Source organism: Homo sapiens, chromosome 8 (genome assembly GCF_000001405.40).
Source record: "Homo sapiens chromosome 8, GRCh38.p14 Primary Assembly".
NCBI classification, from domain to species: Eukaryota; Metazoa; Chordata; class Mammalia; order Primates; family Hominidae; genus Homo; species Homo sapiens.
The window spans coordinates 1,469,408-1,495,070 of NC_000008.11; the positions used below are offsets into that span (position 1 = coordinate 1,469,408).

General features: G+C 50.0%; 1 protein-coding gene across 1 annotated transcript in view, besides 1 other annotated feature; it reads left to right on the plus strand.

Annotated features, from left to right (window-relative positions):
* The window catches only part of DLGAP2 (DLG associated protein 2), a 970,849-nt gene that overhangs the window by 731,780 nt on the left and 213,406 nt on the right, over positions 1 to 25,663 (plus strand). The window lies entirely within an intron of this gene.
* Positions 10,124 to 10,677: an enhancer, noted in NCBI's record as "H3K4me1 hESC enhancer chr8:1427697-1428250 (GRCh37/hg19 assembly coordinates)". NCBI's record gives its function as "activates a minimal SCP1, AML or CMV promoter by ChIP-STARR-seq in naive H9 embryonic stem cells {active_cell/tissue: H9 hESC(naive)}" and the evidence as "EXISTENCE:reporter gene assay evidence [ECO:0000049][PMID:30033119]".

The following is a 25,663-nucleotide window of genomic DNA, read 5'->3' on the forward strand; positions in this document are numbered from 1 at the left end:
AGACCCTCCATGTGGCCACCAAGGGCAGCAAACTGCAGTACATCCCTCTCTGCCATTTCCTGTGCAGGAGAGGTTTCTTCGGAAGCTACTGGAAAGCAGCCTGGAGAGAGACGTCTGCTGCTGAGGACCTTGCCTGCTCCTTCGCTGCCTTACTGAGCTTCCTCAGAAGAACCTCCCACGTATTCGTATTTTCACTGGCAGCTCTTGGGCAACGTGAAATCACCAATGCATCTGCCTCACCCCAAGATGATTCTCACGTCAGAAGCACCTGCTCTGCACGTGCCTGAGAATTCTTTTTTGTATTAAATTTATTATTTGTTGCCCTAAATAAAACCAACCCCAGAAATGGGCCCTCCTTGAAGTGCTGCCATTGTTTGAGAGGAACCAACTTTAAAAGTCCATGTATGACCCTCGATTATTTCTCCAGGAGATGCACAAAATACAGACTCCTATAAAACTCATTTGAGGGCCAAGCGTGGTGGTTTATGCCTGTAATCCCACACTTTGGGAGGCTGAGGCAGGAGGATTGCTTGAGCCCAGAAGTTCAAGATCAGCCTGGGCAACATAGGGAGACCTCATCCCTAAAAAAAAAAAAGAAAAAAAAATTAGCCAAGCCTGGTGGTGTGTGCCTGCGATCCCAGCTGCTCATGAGGTTGAGGCAGGAGGATCACTTGAGCCCAGGAGGTCAAGGCTGCAATGAGCTGTGATCATGCCACCGCACTGCAGCCTGGGTGACAGGGCCAGACCCTGTCTCCAAAGAAAAGCCTCAGTTGTGGCTGCTGAAAGACAGGATCATGCCAGACCATGGATGCTTCACTCCGCTGTCTCGCTGGACGTCTACACTGTCGCCTGTGTTAAGTCCTGGCAGCCAGGTGCTCCATCCAGCACTTCTCAGCCCCCAATGCCATCCTTCATCCCTCAGCTGGTGCCACCAAGTGAGCCCCGCTGGTTCCTTACAACCTGAGTCCACCACAGTGGGAGCTGGATTCATTCTGAGTGGCCGATGCAGTGGCATGGCAGCTGATAGATATGTTTAATATCATCCCTGCTGAAATCCCTCCCGCCACCTGCTCTCTTCTGAATACTTTCACAGAATCGTTTAAATACAACAAAATCCATGGGCCAGTCACACGCAGAAGCACATATTGGAATCCTATTCTATTCTCTCTTAAATATTTGATGTTTGACTAAATCCCAAGCCACTGAATAAATAGTTTAACAGAACAAAAGTGAAAGTGACTAATCTCTCGGCACAATCCTACCATTTTAAGATCCTGTAGCTCCACGTGGATATTCCATGATGAAGGCATCACCGACCACGGCCTCCCCTTCCCCGACTCCTTCCCCGACTCCTCCAGCCTTTCCCGACTCCCCCAGCCTTTCCCGACCCCTCCAGCCTTTCCCGACCCCTCCAGCCTTTCCCGACCCCTCCAGGCTTTCCCGACCCCTCCAGCCTTTCCCGACCCCTCCATCCTTTCCCGACCCCTCCAGCCTTTCCCGACCCCTCCAGCCTTTCCCGACCCCTCCAGCCTTTCCCGACCCCTCCAGCCTTTCCCGACCCCTCCAGGCTTTCCCGACCCCTCCAGCCTTTCCCGACCCCTCCAGCCTTTCCCGACCCCTCCAGGCTTTCCCGACCCCTCCAGCCTTTCCCGACCCCTCCAGCCTTTCCCGACCCCTCCAGCCTTTCCCGACCCCTCCAGCCTTTCCCGACCCCTCCAGGCTTTCCCGACCCCTCCAGCCTTTCCCGACCCCTCCAGCCTTTCCCGACCCCTCCAGGCTTTCCCGACCCCTCCAGCCTTTCCCGACCCCTCCAGCCTTTCCCGACCCCTCCAGCCTTTCCCGACCCCTCCAGGCTTTCCCGACCCCTCCAGCCTTTCCCGACCCCTCCAGCTTTTCCCGACCCCTCCAGCCTTTCCCGACCCCTCCAGCCTTTCCCGACCCCTCCAGCTTTTCCCGACCCCTCCAGCCTTTCCCGCCAGCTGCTGACCTCCACACTCTGTCCCCAGCACAGCTCCCAAACAAGGCTTCCATCTGCCTGTGACGCAGGACATCCCCAGCCTCCTCACCTCTGTCAGAGGCCTGTGCACCATGGCCAACCCAGCCTCTGCGATGCCCTCCCCTCCCCTCCCAGCCTCCTCCTAACCTCCTCTGCGACGCCCTCCCCTCCCCAGCCTCCCTCCTAACCTCCTCTCACCTCCTGCCCACAGCCCACTCATCCCTGAATTAAGGGATCCTCAAACAACCACCCCACACACCTCCCTTTATGAGCATGGGAAATGCCTCTTCAAGACCAAGAAGGGTTCATATCCATCAGCAGCTGGTGACGGACCATGCTGTGTAGGAATTCACCCTTGCTACTCCCATCCTTGGGTTCAAATCCCACCTTTGTGGCTAAAGCTGGGTGAAATCACATCAAACTCTCCAAGTCTTCTTTTCTTCCAGGAGCTCACAAGTGCCGTGACAGTTGAATGGGGCTCTGCGCAGGCCTGCGGTCCGTAAACGGTTGTGATTGCAACCACTTCTTGTGCCCAGTACAACATCATTAAATCGTTCTTTAATCCTTCATTAAATAAACTTGTATTTAGCGGTGGTCTCTGTGCCAGGCACTACGTTAAGGATAAAGCAGTGAGCACCAACAAGCCCTGGTCTCATAGCAGCCACGATTGAGCGTGGGAGTGAGACAGAGGGCCTGAGGCGTAAACAAGTGCCCCTCCACAGTGAGAACGCAGAGCAGGACATGCAGAGCTCAGACGGGGCCGCACTGGGGAGGTGATGCTGGAGGAAATCCTTGCAGCAGGAGGGATGCCTGCCGCCATGTTGGGAGGGGAGGGGGGTTGAGCCATGCGGTAGAGCGGCTGTGCACCAGATGCAGGGCCGGAGCAGGAGAGGACGCAGCTGGGAGGGAGGCCAGGGGCGCAGGTGCCATCATCCCTTCAGGCCCTTCTGGTAAATCCCAAAGCGGGTGTGGCCCTTGCAGTTGGTTTTGTTATGTTGGTGATTTTCATTTTGTTTTTTAGTGAGAATGACATGGTCTGGTATACATATTTCCAGAATTGCTTCCACTTTGTTTCTTTTGAAATCACTAAACAAGGACAAGGGTAGAAGCAAGGAGATGAAGCAGGAAATGTCAGGGTCTCGGGCCCGAGTGCCAGCAGTGGAGACGCTGAGGTCAGATTGAGGAGGATGGAATAATACATGATGTAAACAATCCTCAAGATATACAGGTTCAGAATCGAAGCTCAGCAGGTATTTTCTACAGATGAGGCAAGGGGTGCAGCTGCCAGCCAGCCACAGTGGTCTCTGCAGAAAGTTAACCCTATCATGACTAAAATTAGAAAAACCCTAGCTGGGGTGACAAGGATGCACAGTGAGTTGAACTCCCATAAAATGCAAAACAGAGTAACTGCTTTAGAAACTGGTTTAGCAGTTTTTAAAAAGTTAAGCATATACTTTTCACATGGCCCATACATTCCATTCCTAAATATTTCCCTAAAATGAGGGAAAACTTATGTCCTCACAATATAATTCACACAATTTTTTTTTTGACATGGACTCTTGCTTTGTCCAGGCTGGAGTGCAGTGGCTTGATCTCAGCTCACTGCAACCTCCGCCTCCCAGGTTCAAGCGATTCTCCTGCCTCAGTCTCCCAGGCAGCTGGGATTACAGGCACCTGCCACCACACCTGGCTAATTTTGGTATTTTTAGTAGAGACAGCATTTCACCATGTTGGCCAGGCTGGTCTTAAACCCCTGACCTCAGATGATCCATCCGTCTTGGCCTCCCAAAGAGCTGGGATTACAGTCGTGAGCCACCGTGCCCAGCCCACAAATGATTATATCGGCTTTATTCATAATCACCAAAAACCTGTAACCACCCAATGCCCTTCAGGGGCTGAGTAGATGAACAGAAGAAGGTTCCTCCGCCCAGCAGACTGCCACTCAGGGATGAGAGGAACGGAGAACGGAGCCTGCAGTGAGGGAGAATCTCAGATCCACTGCGGGGCTGGAGGCGAAGGTGTTCAGTTGGTCCACGTTGTAAAACAACCAGAAAATGGCTGCTTGCAGTTTGATTCTACACATATCACATTCTCAAAAAGGCAGAACTGAAGGGAAAAAGCTGCATCTGTGGTTTCCAGGGGCTGGAGACTGGGGAGGGGTTTAGCTGCAGCAGGGCTCAAGCGAGCTTTGGGGTGATGGGATGCGCTGTCTTGAATACGGTGTAGGCTATGGTATGGTTTGGCTGTGTCCCCACCCAAATCTCATTGTGAATGGCAGCTCCCATAATCTCCACTGTTGTGGGAGGGACCCAGTGGGAGATCACTGAATCATGGGGTGGGTCCCTCCATACTGTTCTCATGGTAGTGAATACATCTCATGAGACCTGATGATTTTCTGAGGGGTTTCCCATTTTGCTTGGCTTCCATTGTCTCTTGTCTGCCACCATGTAAGACCTGCCTTTCACCTTCCACCATGATTGTGAGGCCTCCCCAGCCATGTGGAACTGTGAGTCCATTAAACCTCTTTTTCTGTGTAAATTACCCAGTCTTGTATATGTCTTCATCAGCAGCATGAAAACAGACTAATACATGAGCAGTGTACATTCTGCCCAATGTGTAGTCTTTTATCCTTCACCCCTTCCCCCCGAGTCCCCAAAGTCCATTGTATCATTCTTACGCCTTTGCATCCTCATCGTTTAGCTCCCTCTTACAAGCAAGAACATTCAATATTTGGCTTTCCATTCCTGAGTTACTTCCCTTAGAATAATGGTCTCCAACTCCATCCAGGTTGTTGAGAATGATATTATTTTATTCCGTTTTTTGGCTGATTTGTATTCCATGGTATATGTATACCACAGTTTCTTTATCCACTTATTGATTGATGGGCATTTGGGCTGGTTCCGTGTTTTTGTGATTGTGAATTGTGCTGCTATAAACACGTGTGTGCAAGTGTCTTTTTCATACGACTTCTTTCCCTCTGGGTAGATACTCAGGAGTGGGGTTGCTGGGTCAAACGGTGGGTCTACTCTTAGTTCTTCAAGGAATCTCCTCACTGTTTTCCATAGTGGTTGTACTGGTTTACATTCCCACCAGCAGTGCAGAAGTGTTTCCTTTTTATCACGTCCACGCCAACATTATTTTTTGATTCTTTGATTATGACCAATGAGTAGGCACCTCTCAAAAGAAAGAAGACATACAAGTGGGCAGAAAACATGATAAAATGCTCATCATCAGTAATCATCTGAGAAATGCAAATCAAAACCACAGTAAGATACGATCTCACATCAGTCAAAAATGGCTTTTGTTAAAAGGTTAAAAATAACCTGTTTAACAGGTTGGCAAGGCTATGGGGAAAGGGAATGCTTATACACTGCCAGTGCGAGCGTACATTGGTTCAGCCCCTGTGGAAAGCAGTTTGTAGATTTCTCAAAGAACTGAGAGTTGAACTACCGTTTGACCCCATAATGCTATTACTAGGTATATAGCCAAAGAAAAATAAATCATTCTTCCAAAGGGCACATGCCCCCATACAGACATCACAGCACTATTCGCAACAGGAAAGACATGGCCTCAACCTAGATGCCCATCAAAGGGGGATTGAATAAAGAAAATATAGTGCATACACACCATGGAATACTACGCAGCCATCAGGAAGAATGAGATCATGTCCTCGCAGAGACACGGGTGTAGTCAGAGTCACTATCCTAAGTGAATCAACACAAATACTGCACGTTCTCACTCATAAGTGGGAGCTAAACATTGGGCACACGTGGACACAGAGACGGGAACAAGACACCGGGAACTACTGTGCTCACTACCTGGGTGACAGTATCCGTCATACCCCAAACCTCAGCATCACACAATCAACCTACATAACACACCTGCATGTGTACCCTCAATTCTAAAATAAACGTTAAAAAAGAAAAAAAAGCCGGGGGAGCAGGTTTTAGCTGTAACTCTAACAGCATCTACTGAGAAATCATGGAGCAGCCTGATACCTTTTCATCCCCCTGAAGTGCCCTAGGTATGGAAAACAGAGCCCATAATGGTGAGCAGGCATCAAAATGAGAGCACTCCGCACCCCAGCGTTTTGCTTTGGAGGTGCCCCGCTGATTGTTGCAGGCTGTTTCGTGAGGATCAATGAGCGGCTGGGAGTAAACGTCTTCCATACTGGGTCAGGTCACCACCCTAAAGCCCTACAAAGTCGTTGACCCCCATAATTCAGGAACATTGCTTGTCATCCCGGGACCCACCGCAAGGCCGAGCGGAGAGGAAGACAGAACCCTCGCGTGGTCCACGGCAGAACACGAGTGGCACCTGCCGGCTTGGGGAGCTCAACAAAAGGCTTGTCAGACAGAATTACTGTTCACCAACTATTCAATAATGCTTCTAGTGTGTGATTTATAGGAGATCATTACTCTTTGTAACCAAATGGAAAGGTTCAATTTTCAGGTCCCATTTCTTGTTTTTTTCTCTCCCCTAGGAAATCTTAGAAGTAGCTCTTCTAGGATTTCATTAAAATGTCTTCTTCATTATAAAGAAAAATGGTTTTTGTAGTTACTCTTCTCAAGTTTAATTTTGCTGGAGGCAGAGCTGGCCAACACTCCTTTTGAATAAGGAAATATGAGGAGCCCAGGGCATCCTTCAAAAGAGGGCATCACTGTTCTGTTGGGATTATAGGGCGTACAGTAACCAGTGTCTGAAGAACAAGACAGTGAGCCCGTTCACTCTGTGAAACTCAAGACCTGCTTTGACTCCCACCGACTTCATGAGCAAAGGTGCTTTCATGGATGCGTGGCTCGTCCTGGTACATCTCTTAGCTTTTAGTTCCATTTCTGTACGTTTTTGAAGTGTCATCTGAATGATATTTTTTAATCCCTCTGAAGTCTTATTTACACATACATCTACGTGAGAGAGCAATACAATCCTAATAATAATCCTGCAGCACATTCTCGGCTGCATCACAAAGTAAATCTATTCCCATCGCGCCTGTGACTTCCTTTCTTCCCCTCTACACTCCAAGGGCGTCACCTGTTCCTTCCTGTTTTTTATAGTTCGGCTGAGCGCAGCGTGGGTATTTTGAGCTGAGTCAAACTGATTTCCGCTGACACCAGCTTGGGTATTTTCATCACACACCTCCTCATGGTTCCCCCCTCAGTTCCCAGGGCAAATGTTAGTGCTGTCCCCATCGGTGACATTCCTCAGAAGCCAGTCTCTCCCCCTCTCCTGGAGCCGGACCCACCCGTGATGGCTGACTGCTGTTGGCCAACCCACCAGCCCGTTATGCAGACCCACCCTTGATGGCTGAGTGCTGTCAGCCACCCACTAGCCCGTTCTGCAGACCCACCCTTGATGGCCGAGTGCTGTCGGCCACCCACCAGCCCCTTCTGCAGACCCACCCGTGATGGCTGAGTGCTGTCGGCCACCCACCAGCCCCTTCTGCAGACCCACCCGTGATGGCCGAGTGCTGTCGGCCAACCCACCAGCCCCTTCTGCAGACCCACCCGTGATGGCTGAGTGCTGTCAGCCACCCACCAGCCTGTTCTGCCAAGTCAGACGGACATTGTGATCTGTATGCTTTGTGTGACCCTCCAGGAACCTAAACACCTGTGAAGACAGGTTTATTCTCAGGTCATTCCTTCAGAGCAAAGCCTCCACCGCAGACACAATTAATCACGTCACTGCCGCAGGCACTGCACACATAGCCTTTTATCTCAAGAGGGCTTGACCCACCTGCTGGGAATGTCACCAGCTGGCTGTCAGATGGGAGAGGAAGTTGCGGGGGTGGATGCGCACCTGTCCAGGATGAGAGATCCCACCCACCCTCTTTGCCTAGGTCAGGTCTCAGATGACGGCTGGAAGGTACTGGACCATAACACAGGGTACTGGACAGACATGGAGTGTCCCAGGCCATGTTGGTGGCAGGGCTGTGGAAGGCCAGCTGGACAGGCTGCCTCCCCACCCTCCGGCTCTGTCCTTTCCTTCTGAAACCAGCCTCTCTCCCCACCCCTGTGAATCTCCGCTTTGCCTGTCCCTGCTGGGCCGATTCAAGTTCACTGTCTCCATTTGGCCTTAACTTTGAGGAACCTTGCTCTTTTATTGAAATTCTGGCTCAGAAACGCAGCTGCACAGCCTGAGAGCCGGCAGCCCGGTGGTCATCTTCAGAGCCTGTCTACTGTGGTTCCTAATTCCTCACAGCTCACCTGTCTGTGGCCATGATAAACAGCCTCCTTCTGCCCATCTGCACCCAGGAATGTGCATCCAAAGTAGCTCGCTTATTTACTTCCCTGACATTTATTTTCTCATGTTTAAACATATGGATTATTATCGGTTCATAGACTCAGAGCCCACAAGAAACCAGATTATGTGGCCTAGAATAATTGAAAGGTGAGAAAGAAAAAAAAAAAGGTGCCTAATGAAATGATAGTCCCAACCATGGAATGAATAGACCTGATTCCAGATGCCGGTGTCGGGATGGCAGAGTGACCCTGAGTCATTTTGCCCCAGGCAGAGCACCTGTCAGTCTGGTGGAAAATGCATTTTCAGTGGTGGGAGGCAGGGGATTATCTGCTGGTTTAGCGCTGCCTGTCACTCTCTGTTCGTAGGGTTTAATTTACTTTCATTCCCCCTACGTAAGGGGTAAATGTGACCTTCAGAAATCACAGCATTTCTTTTCCCCATTTGCCGTCTTGCTCATGGGAACTTAACTGCTGCTAATTAATGAAATGCCCTCTGTTTTTTAAATCTGGGTGTCTGTCCACTCTCTTCCATTCATCTTACCCATGAGCCTGTAGCCATCTTTGTTTACTCCTCCTTCAGACTGGGACACTGGTGGCTTTCTCTGAACTGTCTGGGGTATGGGTGCCAGCCCTCCTTCCCTTTCCTTCAGGAATTTGCAGCCAGGAGGACACATACAGGCATGAAGGAACATGAGCACCCCTCAGCTCATGTGAGACGTGGTGTGTGTAGACATAGCATATTTTCTCAGAGTTTCCATGACATTTTCAGGAGCTCCTCGCGGTGTGAAGAGCATGCTTTCAGCCCTGGCTTTCCTCAGGTGGCCAACAGCATCCGTGATTCTGGCCACTCTTGCTCCACAAGGCCCTCCTTTCTCTATTCCTCTCTCCATCGACACCATAGATGCCCAGGGCAATGGTCAAACCAACAGAATAGATCTGGTCCGGGACGCGGCACCTGGATGGCAGCCACCCCCACCCCACAAGGCCCTCCTTTCTCTATTCCTCTCTCCATTGACACCGGAGATGCCCAGGGCAATGGTCAAACCAATGGAATAGACCTGGTCCGGGACATGGCATTTGGATGGCAGCCACCCCCACCCACCAGTCGGCTCCTCAGTATGAGAGGTGCATGTTGCTGGGAATGCCGGAAGGCTTGTGAATGGAGGGTCATTATTCTAGCCCCCTCCTTGATGAAGATCAGTCATTAGCCAGGTACAAAGGAACAAGAAAGTAGCTTGGAATGAGTCACGAAGCTGGAGGTTGAGGGAGATGACGGCGCATCCTGGAGACTGAAGGTCAGGCTGCAGCGTTAGCCACATGCAACTTACAGAAAATAACCTCTGGGAACATGTTAATTTATTAGCATTTCACAAATGATGCTGAAACAATCGAAAGGAGCACCTGCTTCCAGTTGCATAGCACCAGCTGAGAGCACAAAGGCCTCTGAGGGTGGAGCAGGGTGAGCCCAGGCAGGGGGGCAACGCTGGGACAGCAGCCAGCAGGCCAGTGTTTCTTCAGCGGCCTTGAAAGGAGAGAGGCTGTGAGTCTGGAGTCAGTCAGGTCTAACACGATGCTCCTTTTCAAAAACTGCAGGACTTCCTGACCTTTACTCCGCTGCCAAACCAGGCGGGGATTGGGGGCGGTGGGGACAGAATAAGATGCTGGGCGCAGGGATGATTAGCCGCCTCTCAAGCTTTCATCCCTCAGGCACTCTGGGGACGAAAGTGACCTCTGTTTGTTTTTGCATAGGAAGCATTGTCCTGGGAAGCTGGCAGGATTTACTGCCAAGGTGAGAAAACACAGCGGCACATTTAGCCACTAATTAATTGCAAATGGACATCTGAAAATTGGATCCATCCTGAAAGGGGGTGGGGAAAGTGGTGTTTACTTGATGGAGGACCTAATTCATAAGCAGAGGGGAAGGCTGTGCGTTTCATTTCCCCTGCTTATCGATTCTTGAAAGCAATAAATGGTAGAGTTTGCTCTTTCATTTCGGTGAGTCATTCATTTCTGTGTCCTTTATCATTCCTATTATGCAAAGGGGTTGGCCAACCGTAAGATGAAGAAAATAGTTGATTTCAAGGTAGTCTTTTCCTTGTGCCTCATCAGAAGCCCCCTGCGGTCCAAGCTGGCTGTTAATTTTTGGTGTCTCTGCGTTGCGATAAAGTAATATGAATAGCCAACAGAATTTTGGCCTGGAAGACTTTGTTGGGATGGAAAATGTGAATGCTATGATTATTTACCCCGGTGGGATTCATTGTGAAAGTATCTCAGCTGCGTATGTAAATTGGGTAGTGCTGGCGTGACTTTTGTTTTTCATGAGAGCTCCAGTCCCTGTGATAAATGTTTTACATAGATTAGTCCTCACCAGCCCCTGTAAGACAGGTGCAATTAGTATCTCTCTTGCAGAGAGAGGCACGGATGCCAAGGGTTGGCAGTGAGTCCCAGGGACGCCCCGCGCAGTGCAGAGCCGAACCCCGGCTGTCTGGCTACAGGCAGAGAGCCTTTAACCACCACTGTACCGAACATCCCCCCTCCGCCTGCTGAGCTTTTCAGAACACAGGAAACGTGGGGCTAGATGTAGGTTTTCAGTCTCCAAAAGCCGGGTCTTGTTTTTATGTCTCTTTGGAGTCCACATGTGATTTAAATGGATTTGTCTCCAGATTGTCTTGGAAGAGGAAGAGGATGGGTGATGGGGGCATCTCAGTGCTGACTCTGTCTTTCTTCCTAATACTCAGGGTCATGTTTCACTGGCAGAAGCTCTCTGCACCCATGGCAGGGCACGTTCCCACACACATATTTTGCTTAAACCCAGAAATACAGCATTGAAGCAAACGCACGGCTGGCTGAGCCCTGACCTGGCCTAGTCCATCACTCATCAGTGATTTGCCAAATAAAGAGTTATGTTAACAAGATAAAAGAACAGGCTGGACGCAGTGGCTCACACCTGTAATCCCAGCACTTTGGGAGGCCGAGGCGGGCGGATCACCTGAGGTCAGGAGTTCTAGACCAGCCTGACCAATGTGGTGAAACCCCATCTCTACTAATAATAATAAAAAAAAAAACCTACAAAACTAGCCAGGCATGGTGGTGTATGCCTATAATCCCAGCTGCTTGGGAGGCTGAGGCAGGAGAATCGCTTGAACCCGGGAGGCAGAGGTTGCAGTGAGCTGAGATCACGCCATTGCACTCCAGCCTGGGAAACAAGAACGAAACTCCATATAAAAAAAAAAGAAAAGAAAAGAAAAGGCTGGGAAGGGTGGCTTACGCCTGTAATCCCAGCACTTTGGGAGGCCGAGGCGGGCAGATCACGAGGTCAGGAGATCGAGACCATCCTGGCTAACATGGTGAAACCCCATCTCTACTAAAAATACAAAAAATTAGCTGGGCGTGGTGGCGGGTGCCTGTAGTCCCAGCTACTTGGGAGGCTGAGGCAGGAGAATGGCGTGAACCTGGGAGGCGGAGCTTGCAGTGAGCCAAGATCACACCACTGAACTCCAGCCTTGGTGACAGAGCGAGACCCCATCTCAAAAAATAAAAAAAAAATTTTAAAAACCATCAAAAATGAAAGAAGGTTGAAGGAGGCATTTTTAAAACCTCCTGGAGCCTAGTTTTACGTTTTCCTACATGATCCATGTACAAGGCCATTAAAACAAACAAAATAGTGTGATAACTGATGAGCGTGACCGTTCAGAGACCAGCCTGGAGGTGGAGATAGAAAGATTTACACTTTTCTTTCCAATGGCAAAGCCTTTTCCAGAAAAATCTTAAGAGGAAGGGTCAAAGTGAGATGATACTTTATTGGATTTTCTTTTTCTTTTTCTTTTTCTTTTTTTTTTTTTTTTTTTTTTTTGAGATGGAGTTTTGCTTTTGTCGCCCAGGCTGGAGTGCAGTGGTATGATCTTGGATCACTGCAACCTCCAGCTCCCAGGTTGAAGTGATTCTACTGCCTCAGCCTCCTGAATGGCTGGGATTACAGGCATGAACCACCACGCCCGGCTAATTTTGTATTTTTAGTAAAGACGGGGTTTCACCTTGTTGGCCAGGCTTGTCTCGAACTCCTGACATCAGGTGATCCACCCGCCTCAGCCTCCCAAAGTTCTGGGATTACAGGCATGAGTCACCGCACCAGGCCAGATTTTATTTTCTAAGACATGAGACTCCCAGAAGGGGAATTTAAAAAATCTCTGACTCCTTGGCTGGCCCAGAAAACTAAACTCATGTCAGGGCACCCAGTGGGTTGATCATGTCTCAGGCTCAAGCTTCCAGCCCGACCCGATTATCCTTCTGATGCCAGGGTCCCCCCGTGGAGAAGGGCCAGGTAGGAGGGGCCCCAATGACTGCTCTCAGCCCTCCTGTGGAACCAGGTCTGTGTTCCTCGGGGGAAAGTTGGTGATGTCTTCACAGCAGGGCTGGAAAATCACCATGCTCACAAGAAATGAAAGCATCCAAGTGGCTGTGTGACATCTGTCACCCCGTGTCATGCTCACATGACGGTCTGGGAGGAATCACACAGTTATGTCAAATGTGATGTGCTTGAGAACGTGTGGGTTTTAAGGATATTTTGAGATTCAGAACACTTGCTTTTCAAGTCACTGTTTCTCTTTTAAAAGAAACGTGGAAAGCCGTTTGATCTGCTTCTTGATAGCTGGGCAGGACAGCACCGTGGTCAACGCTGCACGAGGCTTGCCTTCCTCAGAGTTCTAATCTCCACCCTCTGTCTGTTGTGGTCAGTTCATGTGTCTTTACACTAGAAACATAGCCTAGCATTTGCTGAAAATCATTGCATTTCTTTTTAAAGAATGTATTAAAAATAATCACAGAATGTATGGAACGTCTGCTCTGAGTAATTTATATGCATTTTTAATTTTTTACACGGTAGTCCTGCAGAGGACCTTGTAGTTAACAAAAAAGGCTCAACAAGCCCAGCTCACTGGCATGGCTCGCTCTCGTGGGCCACGGGGTGGGCGGCTTGCTCGGCTGGCTTCTCCCGCCCCCTCCCCACGGTTTCCGGGAGTCCCTGCGCGGTGGTTCCCACGGCCGCCCCGGCCAGCCTCACCTGACCTGGGATGCGCTTCCTTCCACAGCTGTAGCCCTCGGCGTCTCCCCGCCCCAAACACAGAGTAGGAGCTGCAGGCAGCCGTGCGTGGATGTGGGGATGGGCGTGGGACCCTCGTTCGGGGCATCAGGCTGGACCAGAAGAGGAGGGAGACGCAGGAAGAGATGACAAAGAGAGAAAGAAGCAAAGACACGAGCGAGGACAGGGACCCAGGAGAAGAGGGCGGATGGTCTTGGAGCATTTAGCCCTCCCACAGCCCGGCCATCCTCACGTCCCGTGCTCGGGCCCTGGCGCACCTGTTCTTCCCTCCGGCACTGCCTCCTCCTTGGAGCTGGCTTGAGTGAGCCTCCGGCGCGCGCGGCCGGAGAGGCGCAAGGGAGCCCCGCGGCAGCCTGGGAGATAAACCACGCTCGGTGCCGGCAGGAAGGGCAGCGGTGCACCGAGCTGCTGCTGGGCGTTTGCAGGGAGTGATCTGTGGCTGATGAGAGGCCCTGAGGGGTCCAGGGAGTCCGTACTTTGTGGGGAAACTCAGAAGGTTTTCATGAGGAAGTGACCCAGCCCAGGCTTTAAAATGCGTCCCTCTAGACTCTGCCCCACGCGTGAGGAAGTGAGCGTGGCGGGCAGAGACTGGGCTGGACGTGCGTGAGGCCGCGGTGTGTTTCCAGAGTCTCCAGGCGCCACGTGGAGATGAGCACACCTGCTGTTGGCTTGACGGACCCAGAAGCTGAACTGCTGTGTAAGAGGCTCAGGGAGCAGGACCTGAGGGCGTCTCCACAGGGCAGGGAGGCAGGCGCAGAACGTGAGGACAAGGGAAGGCTGAACTGCTGTGCAAGAGGCTCAGGAAGCAGGACCTGAGGGCGTCTACACAGAGCAGGGAGGCAGGCGCAGAACGTGAGGACAAGGGAAGGCTGAACTGCTGTGCAGGAGGCTCAGGGAGCAGGACCTGAGGGCGTCTACACAGAGCAGGGAGGCAGGTGCAGGAGGTGGGGACCAGGGAGGCAGGTGCAGGACGTGGGGACCAGGAAGGCAGGTGCAGAATGTGGGGACCAGGGAGGCATGTGCAGGACATGGGGACCAGGGAGGCAGGCAGGGCTGCCAGGAGCAGCCACAGACCACAGGGCTTTTGTAAGGGTCTGGGAGCTGTGGTTTGCTCACAATTGTTCATTGATTAGTGCCTGTTAGTTTCAAACATAGCAACACAATATAGTAATGAGAATGAAACTCCTTTTAAAAAGAGTCTTAAAAAGGTGGGCAACAGTGTTCTTGCCCATGGGTTTAGCGTGATATGGAAACTGGGATGTTTTGCCCCATTTCAAACACTGTTCTAGGAAGAGGACCACAGCAGTCCATGTGGAGGCAGCTGGAAGGAAGAAAGACAAAGCCGGCTTCCTTCCTGGGAGCCAGCGTGGGCTGAGGAGCTGGTGAGGTGCCAGAGAGCAGCCAGGGCAGGCCCTCCAGGTGCCAAGGCCACAGCCTCCTGGGCTCTGAGCTCCATGAGCTTCTGAATGAACAGTGAGCTGGCTCAGCCACAGCTCTCAGCTTTGCAGGGCTTCTTGTCAGCAGTCAGACCCGTATCACTGCCTGGTCCAACAGAGTCAATGGCCTTGATTTCCAGAATTCATCATTTCTGATTTAAAAAAGAAAACATCCATGATTATTTTAAGACACGGACATGAGTTCCTTAGATCCTCATTGCGCAGGGACACTTCAAAAGAAAAAGGGAAATTGGAAACCTTCTGGCTTAGGCCTGCGACTGGACGGCTCTGCCCCAGAGCGGTGCCCGCCGACCCAGGGTCCTCCATGGTCTGTGATGTTTTGATCACGACGGCTGAGGCCTTTGGTGAGAGCCCAGAACAGCCATCCAGACACTCGAAGGAGGTTCACGCTGATTCAGAGTCATCAGGGTAAAACCAATTCAGACCCAACTTACAAGCTGGACAGGAATTTCTGGTGAAAGTGGCTGAGGCATTTGATAGAAAGATATTCATGTTGTTAGTCCGTAAACTCTTATGGGAGATCCATGAAAAATTAAACCAACCATAGTTGGGCATCATATCTGAGGGACAGAGGTGGTAGCAGAGCCTTCTGTGGCTTCTGAGATGGCTTCATGTCCTCCCACCCTGAGTCATCGGCTGTATCACAATATTTCCTGGCAGCAGAGAGCAGACCTGGTCTCTCAGCCTTTCAGCCCCCTCCCCTTCCTGCTCTGCCGTCTCCTTTGCTGTCTGCCCCCTAGGACCTTCATTTTGCCACAGTGGCTGCAATGTCAATAAGAAGGCATTATCTTAAATTCCGCTAATAATAACTGCAATGAGGATGAAAATTTTACATTACCATCAGGCATTGCCACGGCCTCTCTTAAAGAACTATAGAGAATGATGTGGACACTTACAAATATGCCTTGACAGGAAGTTTCAGAAACAAGCTTGGAAATTGGGACGATGTTAATGCAGCTGCCCTGTCATTTTCCATAAAATTATTTTTATCTTCCTTTCCTCTCATCTTGCCAGATAATTATGATACGCTTTTTTTGTATAATTTTGATTAGGTTGATTAGCCAGACCCACTCTACGCTGTAAAATGCAGCTAATGAATTGCAGATTTTTTCATATCATTTTTCCACCTAGAGCATAGGCAGGACTTATCTATGATTCAAATGCAGAAAATGTTTTTAAGAGCGTTCATGCAGATGCAGGATTCAAGGAAAACCAGTTGAGAGGCACAAGTGCCATGAGGCTTCACATAAGAAAGGAAGCAGGGAAAGCATGTATGTAAGTAATGGACTCGCTGGATGCAGATTTTTATAGCAGACGCGGTTAAGGAAATTTGGAGAGGCCGTGTGTCCCACGTTGCGTCCATGTGAAGATGGCGACGCTGGTTTATCCCCGTTCTTGGTTCACTGAAGGAGAACGCTTCAGTTCCCCCTCCCAGCTCCCACTGTGGGAAGACAGGTGTGGTCTGAAGCGCTGCCCCTACTTGACAGAGGGAGGAAAAGGGAACCTTTGAAAGGGCCCAGGGAGGTCATAGAAGGTCAGTCATCAGGCTGAGCATGGTGGCTCATGCTTGTAATCCCAGCACTTTGGGAGGCTGAGGCAGATGGATCACTTGAAGTTAGGAGTTTGAGAACAGCCTGGCCAACATGGCGAAACCCCATCTCTACTAAAATACAAAAATTAGCTGGGTGTGGTGGTTGGCACCTGTCGTCCCAGCTACTCAGGAGGAGGCTGAGGCAGGAGGATCGCTTGAACCCCGGAGGTGGAGGCTGCAGTGAGCCGAGATCGCGCCACTGCACTCCAGCCTGGGTGACAGAAAGAGACTCCATCTCAAAAAATTATAATAATTTTAAAAAGGAAGATCAGTCATCAGCATGGTCTTCAAGATCTCTGCTCGCGTCCCGTGCTCTGCCAAGATGCTGCATGGACATGTTTCTCACCTCATCTTCAGAACCACCCTTGGCACAAACAGCATGATGACCATCCTACAGATAAGGAAACCAAGGCTTTCATTACTTGCCCCAGATCATAAGAGCCAGAGCCTGGACTTGAGCAAGTCAAGCCTGCATATTACGGCAGATGGAAAGCTGTGCAGTCTGCGTGTTCAAAGAGCATTTGCAAAAGGCAGCCAAGACAGGTGGGGCCGGAAGTCTGTTCAGAAGAATGTGAAATCTCGGCTCCTGGAGGCTGTTAGGGCTGTGTCCTCTCTGGATCTGTGTTGTTTATAAAGGACTGCCATGTGGTGGCACGTGCGAAGCCTGTCATGTTCCACAGGCTCTGAAAGTAGTTTGCCTTGGAGAGGGGAAAGACCCCCTATGGAAGGCTGTCTGCTGAGCACATTCCAATCAAAGGGGGAATTTCTCGGTTTCCTTAGGAACAGTTCAGCATCAGCGGAGATGCGGCGGCGGCTCCTGAGCCTTGCAGAGAGCCACAACACTAACAGAACTGCATTTGTCTCCTCTTGCTCTTCCAACTCTAAATAATATCTTAGCGTTTCATGCCAAATGGGATGAAATTGCCAGGGTTTTTCATTACAGAAAACATAAATTGCTGAAGGCAAATATACTGCCAGTGGAGCTGGCAACATGAGAATCATGCATTTGAGTCACAAACAAGTAGTAAAACACATGCATTTATGCAGCTGCTAATCTCAAGAAGCACCAACAGATGGGAAAACTGGAACAGCCTCTGCCTGGAACGTTTGTCTCCACGTTCCCAATACTGCTGGGCAACCCAGGGAGACCAGCCACGTGGGGAGGTTGAAACAATATTGGGGCCCGCCAAGCTGCCACAGCCTGGCACAGTCATTTCTTGGTGAAGTTTCAGGTCAGGAGCTCTGTAACCTGTTAAAGCACAATCGATCTAGAATCCGAGGCTTTAAAAATGAATTGCAATGTAAGTGCTGTGCTAAAACCTTGTACTTATTTGGTTTTCTGCGAGTAAACTTGACATGTGATGTATTTAAAACAAGAAGAATGATGCCTTAGGCATGATTGGTCCGTGAATAATAGGAAACCAGTTTCATCTGTCATTTTTTAACAAATGCCATTCACTGTTATTAATACCCAGAGTGGAATAAATGAATAATGGCTAGGCCTGGGGATATAGATCAAAATTCAGTTCTATGGCTAAGTAGTACTGAAAGTGGGTATTACAGAGATTCAGGGAAGAAAACAACCAACCACAAATCAGATTTTTGAAGTTGCTTTCATTTAGAAAATGAGAATAAAAATAGTATATTGGCTATGAAATATTCTGGTATATAGATTTATGTAATAAATTCTACCTGTAATTGATTGAGTTGATTCCATTCTGTAGGACAACTGAATGCAGGTTTAAAACAGTGCTACTGAAGTGAAGGATGTGCTTTGTAAGCTGGTTTGCCCTGTGAGGTTGTCCGTCTAACCCAGATAACACGAGTCACTCTCCCTGTACATGTGTCTGTGACTGAACTGATTTCATGGTGTAGGAATCGTCTGTTCATATGTGATTCTCCTGCCTGGCTATGAGCCCGCAGGCCAGGTCCCACCTGTGCACTGCTGCGTCCCAAGCATGCACCACACAGCACCGATTCTCAGGTCCTCATCCTCAAGGGCTGGTCGAGTACGAGTAGTCGGTGAAGCTTCACGTCCTCACTACCTGCCAGCAGGTACGTGGTGGCCCCTTTACCCGTAACTGGGAGGACAGCGGTCACCACAGTTGCTGGAGCTGCTCTGCCACGTCCTCAGATTATCCCTCTAAACATCTTTCCCGGGACATTCACTGTGAGGTGAAATCATACCTGTGGAAATCATTGTTGAAATGATCGCTTTGAAAGGAGTTTCCATCATCGCTGAGAGTCTTCGTTGAGGAGGGCAGAGGTGTTGAGTTCCTCAGCAGTTTCAAGCTGTGGCATATTCTTCAGGATTTCTTGACAAGCCCACTCAGGGCAGAGCCTCCGTTGAACAGCCAGGTGGGAGGCTGGGAGTCCTTCTTCCACACAGTCCTCCCCACACTGTCCTCCACACAGTCCTCCACCCCCCTGCAAACTCCCACCCGGCAGTTCACAGAGAGGCCTCATCTCCCAAACACAGACGCCCGTCTGGGATTTGGCCACAGCAGGAGGACGCAGCGGGGTGGCTCTTCCATGGAGGCCACTGGAATCCACTCGTACTCAGTCTTGGTGAGCTTGGCAGGTCTCTTTTCCAAGCTCAGATTTTGATGCCAGAAAAGGAGTGGCTTAAAGAGAAAGAGAATTGGGAATGGGCAGTTGAGCACCCAAAAGAGGCATTGAGAGGCCAGTCGGAACGGTGCCTGGCCCACGTTTCATCTTCCCTTTATTTTTGCAAAGCCTGGTCCTAAGCAGCTCCACAGGTAGCCCGAGGTGGGCTGCAGCTGCCCAGGCCAAGAGGTGAGCAGTAAATGCTGACACGCCACACAGGAGAAAACAGGGGTTTGGAGCCAGAGAGAAATTGAGGATGCAGGTTCTCATCCATGCTGCCACGGAGTAGTTGTGGGATTTTAATTCTACAACATCTCCAAAGCTCCTCCTCTGCACGATGGGCATGACGACGTTTTATCTTCTGCATTCAGATGCTGTGTGTTCCCTCCTCTCAGGCAGCTGCAGTCAGTGACTATGATGTCCAGAGATCACCCCAGGCTGACTCTTGTCCTGCAGATAGTGGGGCATGCAGGGGGCATCAAAGGGGACCTGGATTCAGGGTGGGTAAGCAAATGCAGGCATGTCATCCCCACAGCTACCATTTCAGATCTTTTTTCAGAAACTGATTACAGGAAGACACTGGATAGAACCCCACAGACTCAACTCGCATTCAGCTTAAATAATCCGCACTGTTACCTTCTGCACATGGTCCAACTTCTTTAAGGAAGCAAGGTGTCACCCTGTTCAGATTCTTCCTCCAGAGTTGCTTTTCTAGATGCCCAAGAAAATATGTCCTCCTCTGTGTTACCTGTGGACTGTAAAAGCCTGGGAAACAACATTCCATGCTGAAGTTTGAGCTGCTCGAGAATGCGACTAGTGTGCTTCTGATGCGTGGAGTTGGAGTTCGTGGAAAAAATGGGACCGTCAGCTCTGAGGGCAGCATGTCTTCCTCACTGTCTGTGAGTCTCCTGCAAGAGGCACCATGCGTGGATGGCACCGGTGACTGGCGGAGTGGATGAGCGAGGGACTGTTGTTCTGTGGGTGTCTTTCTAGATCGCAGTGGTGCCATTATCTGTGTGAGGGAACAGCAGTCACTCGGGGCTGACCCACGTTAGAGGAAGAAGGAAGGAAGCTGTACGTCTTTACCACCACCCTTTTCATTCCAGGCCATCTCATTCCAAAAAGGAAGACAATTCAGATACTGTCTTTTCCAAAGACTGTTGGATGCCAAGTACTTTTTATAATGTTTTATACTTAGGCATACAGGTTGGTGGGAGAAAATTTGGAAAGCACAAAAAATTTAAAGAGAAAATAAAACACGGCCATAATTCCGCTCATCAGAGCCCATCGCTGTGAGCATCTTGGTTAATTGCCAGCAGACATTTTCCAAAGCAAACTCAGATCACAAACCGCATCGAGTTTGAGTATACCAATTCTCACGTAACGTTACGATGGGAATTTCAATAACACTTAGAAGCTTTCTAACATTCTACATGATAATTGCACCATAATTTACTTAAGCTTTCTGCTTTAATTGGGCATTCCAAGATTAAGGCATATCAATTTTTTTTTTTAAGATGGAGTCTCACTCTGTCTCCCAGGCTGGAGTGCAGTGGCACAATCTTGGCTCACTGCAACCTCCACCTCTCAGGTTCAAGCAGTTCTCCTGCCTCAGCCTCCCGAGTAGCTGGGATTACAGGCACCTGCCACCGCACCCGGCTATTTTTTTTGCATTTTTAGTAGACAGGGTTTCACTATGTTGGCCAGGCTGGTCTTGAACTCCTGACCTTGTGATCCACCTGCCTCAGCCTCCCAAAGTGCTGAGATTACAGGCATGAGCCACTGCGCCCGGCTTCATTTTTTTTGAAGTAAAATAAATGGGCATCACAACTTACCCTGAAGTCATTTGCACAATACCCAGAACAAGTGTCAGCAATAATTAGAGCTGTGATTGCTCCTGCCACATCGAAGCACCTTACGTGCGGGGTTGAAAAGGCGCCTGTGGAGAAGGAACAGAAGCCAATCTCAGGCATCCATCAGGTGCAGAAAATTCAGACAATACGTCAGCTAAAGAAGTTAAGAGCGTTTCAAAGTGAATATTTTTTTATGTTAAAATGCCTGAAAAAGTTCTATCCAGAAAGCATGTTGTGTGACAAAGACACTGAGAGAGGGTGATGGGAGAGTCCTGTTCTGTGTTCGTGTGGAAAGACAGTGATTCCAGAGAGGTCCACAGAGGTGGCGCAGCCCTGGGCCACAGTCGGCTCAGTAGGTAAAGGTGAAATGGGCCCTCGGTTAATCACTTTTGTTCTTCCTCCCTTATTGGTGGCCTCAGCCCTGGCTGTGGATTGATTCACCTGTGGCACTGTCAAATGAACTGACCTGGGCCCCACACCAGAACAAATGAGCAGAATCTCTGGGCTGGGGCATGAGGCCTGTGTCCTCCTAAAAGGTCCCCAGGGTTAGGGAGGCAAGATTTAGCCAATGAAATTGAGAACACATGGACACAGGAAGGGGAACATCACACACCGGGGACGGTTGTGGGGTGGGGGGACGGGGGAGGGATAGCATTAGGAGATATATCTAATGCTAAATGATGAGTTAATGGGTGCAGCACACCAACATGGCACATGTATACATATGTAACAAACCTGCACATTGTGCACATGTACCCTAAAACTTAAAGTATAATAATAATAAAATTTAAAAAAATAAAATAAAATAAATAAAAATAAACTGGAAACCAAAAAAAAAAAAAAACCCAAAAATAAAATCACTTTTCATGAACAGAGCAAAAGAAAAAAAAAAAAATCCAGGACGCCCAGTTAGGTTTGCATTTCACAAAAACATTTGATGTTGCATGAAATATGTGACAAAAATGCTCGCTGTTTCTCTGAAATTCACATGTAACTGGCGTCCCAGGTTGCCTGGCAGCCCTGCCCAGGAACTGCCGATGCTGTGAGCAAGAGAAACAGTAAGGCTGCTTTCAGGCCGCTGCTCCTGACCCCGGAGGCTTCGGGCCGCTCCCCCTGACCCCGGAGGCTTCGGGCTGCTCCCCCTGACCTCGGAGGCTTCCGGCTGCTCCCCCTGATCTCAGAGGCTGTTTCAGAAAGTGAGCACGAGGAGCAATAGCCTGAGATTTGAAGGCCACATTTTTCTAAGCTTTGTAAAATGCCCTTCACTCTGTCTTTAAAGTAGTGTTTCCTGGGTAAGCATGGTGGACATATCTTTAAGGTGTCTTTAGTATAAAACTTTATTAAGTATAGATGGTAGTGCAGGGGACCTAACGCCGCATGTATTTGGAATTTAGATCTGAAACAGGTTGTAGAAAATATAAGTAGGTGTCACTTTTCATGCGAACAATGTTCAAGTTTCACCACAGGCAGATACGATTTCCTCTTGAAGTTAGCAGATATTTAAATAAGAAATAGTGTGCCTTTCTACTTCAGCACTTTTTAATTTTTTTTCCGAGTCCAGAAAAAATGCAAAGTTAAGTGTACGTTGCTGTTAGTCATAACTGAATTCCTTCGGAAGATGATGTCGTAGTTTATCGGAAGGCATGGTGGTGTTTAAGCTGGTAAGGCCTGCGGAGCTCCGGAGCGGGACGCGAGGGGGTGACGAGTGCACCTGGTGACTGGAGCCGGGCTCCGCTGTCGTGCGCCTTTGCAGCCATCTGTTCTGACAGAGGCACTGATTGTCATTCTTAGTTGAGTGGGGTTGCTTCATTAGTGACTTTGAGACTTTCTCTTGGCCTGATTTAAGTGACATTTAACCACTGGTAAAAATTCTGCAGACTTTAGGGGCAGCTTCTGTGGAGACTTGATCCTCGGTCCAAAATAAAATTACGATCATTTCTATGGTTTTCAAAGAAAAGCCATTAGTAATCATTACGGCAGTGGCTGAGCGCGGCTGGTGCACAGCTGCGAGTGAAATGGAGGAGGAAGCCAGCATTAAAACCAATCAATGTCATTGTCCTAACGGAGCAGAAATGAATCCCTAATTTAAACAGCCTTCAAATCCTGTCATTAGGGAAGCGGCTCAAATGTAGGCTCGAGCGTGCTTTCTGTAAAAGTAAACTTTTCAAGAGTTAGAAGAATCTAGAAATGGGGCAAGCTCAGATGGCTGAACTCTGCACTGACTCTCAGAGGGCTGCTTCTGCTGAGCGTTCCCTGTGCGTTCCGGAAGCAGCTCCTGTGGGCGACACCCGATGGGGACCGCGCTTCGCTCCGCAAACATTGTCACTGCGCCTGCGCGGTGACTCCAAGAGCCGAGGCCCACGCCTGTCCCCTCCCCCCACGAAGAGGTGCCGTGGAGCACGTGACCTGACCCCTCCTCACAGCCGGAGGCAGAGGGGCCGGGATGGACCCCCCGCCTCCCTGACTTCCAACCAGGCACCTTCCCCGGCTCCATGCTCATGGCGACGCAGCCGATTTTGCGTGAAGACCTGTGTGCTACCCATGGGAGGCCAATAAGGAGAAGGGCTGTGTACGACCACGGAGAGCTGCGGGACAGTAGGCCGGAGAAAAACAGGAAGAACTGAAAGACAGGCACCTCCACACCTTTCCACACATCTTCAGAGGTACATGTCAACCCGCCCTCCACCCTCCACTGCCATCCCACCTACGCATAGGGAACAGGTAGCATTCCTTGGGGAGGATGGAAACCGAGTTCTCACCCAGGCGAGAGAAAATGCCAGGATCTCAGGGGCAGGCTGCACAGAGATTCAGCCTCAAGGGAAGTCCAGGAGGATCTGGGCAGGGCACAAGGTGACAACGAGCTCAAGCTGTGCAGGTAGAACCAGGCGGATCCGTGTAGCAAGAACTCGGGGAGAAGAGGCAGTGCCCTAGGAACCCAGATGGCTGCCTTCATCTCCGCAGCTCTGAGACGCGCCTCCATGGATGGAGCGCATAGAGGGCTGCTTTCATCTCCGCAGCTCTGAGACACGCCTCTGTGGACGGAGGGCACAGACGGCTGCCTCCATCTCCGTGGCTTTCAGACACGCCTCTGTGGACCCAGCGTGTAGACATCTGCCTCCATCTCCGCAGCTCTGAGACGTGCCTCTGTGGACCGAGCGCATAGACCGCTGCCTCCATCTCCCTGGCTTTCAGACACGCCTCTGCGAGCCCAGTGCATCCCTGGATGAGAATGAAGCAACGGAATGGGACAGTTAGAGGGACGGACCCCAGGGAAGACCCAGAGACACACCTGAACGTGTGTGGGAGCCGCGAGGGTCCTGGTGAAGTTTCCCAGATTCTGAACGTTGGTTTAATGGTGAAGGCTTCACATTCTAATCCTCCTGTAAGCAAAGGTGTCCATCAGCTAGGAAAACGTCCTATCGGCAATGAAAAGAAGTAAGTGTGCTTTTCAGAAATGGAAGGGAAGCAAGCCCACTGCCTGCTGCCATCTCCCTGGGCAGCGGCTGGCTCCTGTAGAGAAGCTGGGGCGGGCGGTGGGCACGTCAGGGGTAGATGCGGAAGGGGTGGACGCGGCACGACCCTGCTTCTTACCCTGATTCTTCCTAGGCAGTGCTGACAGCATCTGTTTTATGGTTTGGGGTTTTGTGTCCATTTCATTTCGAAAAAGGCCTGTACTATAAAAAGTGCAGTGTGGACTCACAAGACTGGTGGGAACGTGTTGTATCTCCTGACCACGGAGGGGCTGGCCTGCCATGCCAGGAGGACGCAGGGCCCCTGCCCTCCCATTCTGCATCGGGGGGGGCAGTAGGATGAACCCATAAACACATAACAAACACTCTGCAGGGCAGGAAAGGCTGCAGGGCCCACACACAGTGGACGAAAGTGGGTCATGTCCTTCTCTTGGTGTTTATGAGGTGATAATACTATTGTTTCCTTTTCCATCAAGAAATCCAGTCTTTTCTTATGAGCAATTTCCCTTCTCATGTGTGAACCTGGTTTTTCCTTCTAATACTTTGAAGGCTTAACTGCTTCCTTTTGCTTCCGCATTAGCATGATTTGGAGACAACTTCCCCCTGAGAAGACGCAATTGTGCTTTGAGTTTAAAAACCTGTCAATTTAAAGTGTGCATTTCCTCCTCTTTCTTCCCAAACCTTGCAGTTGGCATTCACGGGGCAGGTCTTTAAGAAATGAGGGGCCACTTGGGCAGGTGCGGTGCCTCACGCCTTAATCCCAGCACTTTGGGAGGCCAAGGTGGGTGGATCACGAGGTCAGGAGTTTGAGACAAGCCTGGCCAACATGATGAAACCCCGTCTCTACTAAAAATACAAAAATTAGCCGAGCGTGGTGTCAGGCGCCTGTAGTCTCACCTATTGGGCGTCTGAGGCAGGAGAATTGCTTGATCCCGGGAGGTGGAGGTTACAGTGAGCTGAGATTGTGCCATTGCACTCCAGCCTGGGCAACAGACCCAGACTCCATCTAAAAAAAAAAGGAAAGAAAAGAAAAGAAACGAGGTGCCACTCAATGCAGCCTCCCCCAAACAGACACCACCACACCACAGAGCACACAGAGCTCCAGCCACGGGGTTGAGGCTCAGCTTCACGGAGATCTAACTCTTCTGTGGCGGCAGAGAACAAACTTAACTTCCCCAGGCGTCAATTTCTGCATCCACAGAACTAGAGATGATCACTCCTGGCGTAATGACAGAGTGGTAGGGTGTTAGAGTGAGGTCCCGAGATATGCCTGTTGGCAAATGTACCTTTAAATCCTCATACGTGCCATTTTTCTTCATCAATTCTCCATAATGAGGCATTGCCAGGACCGA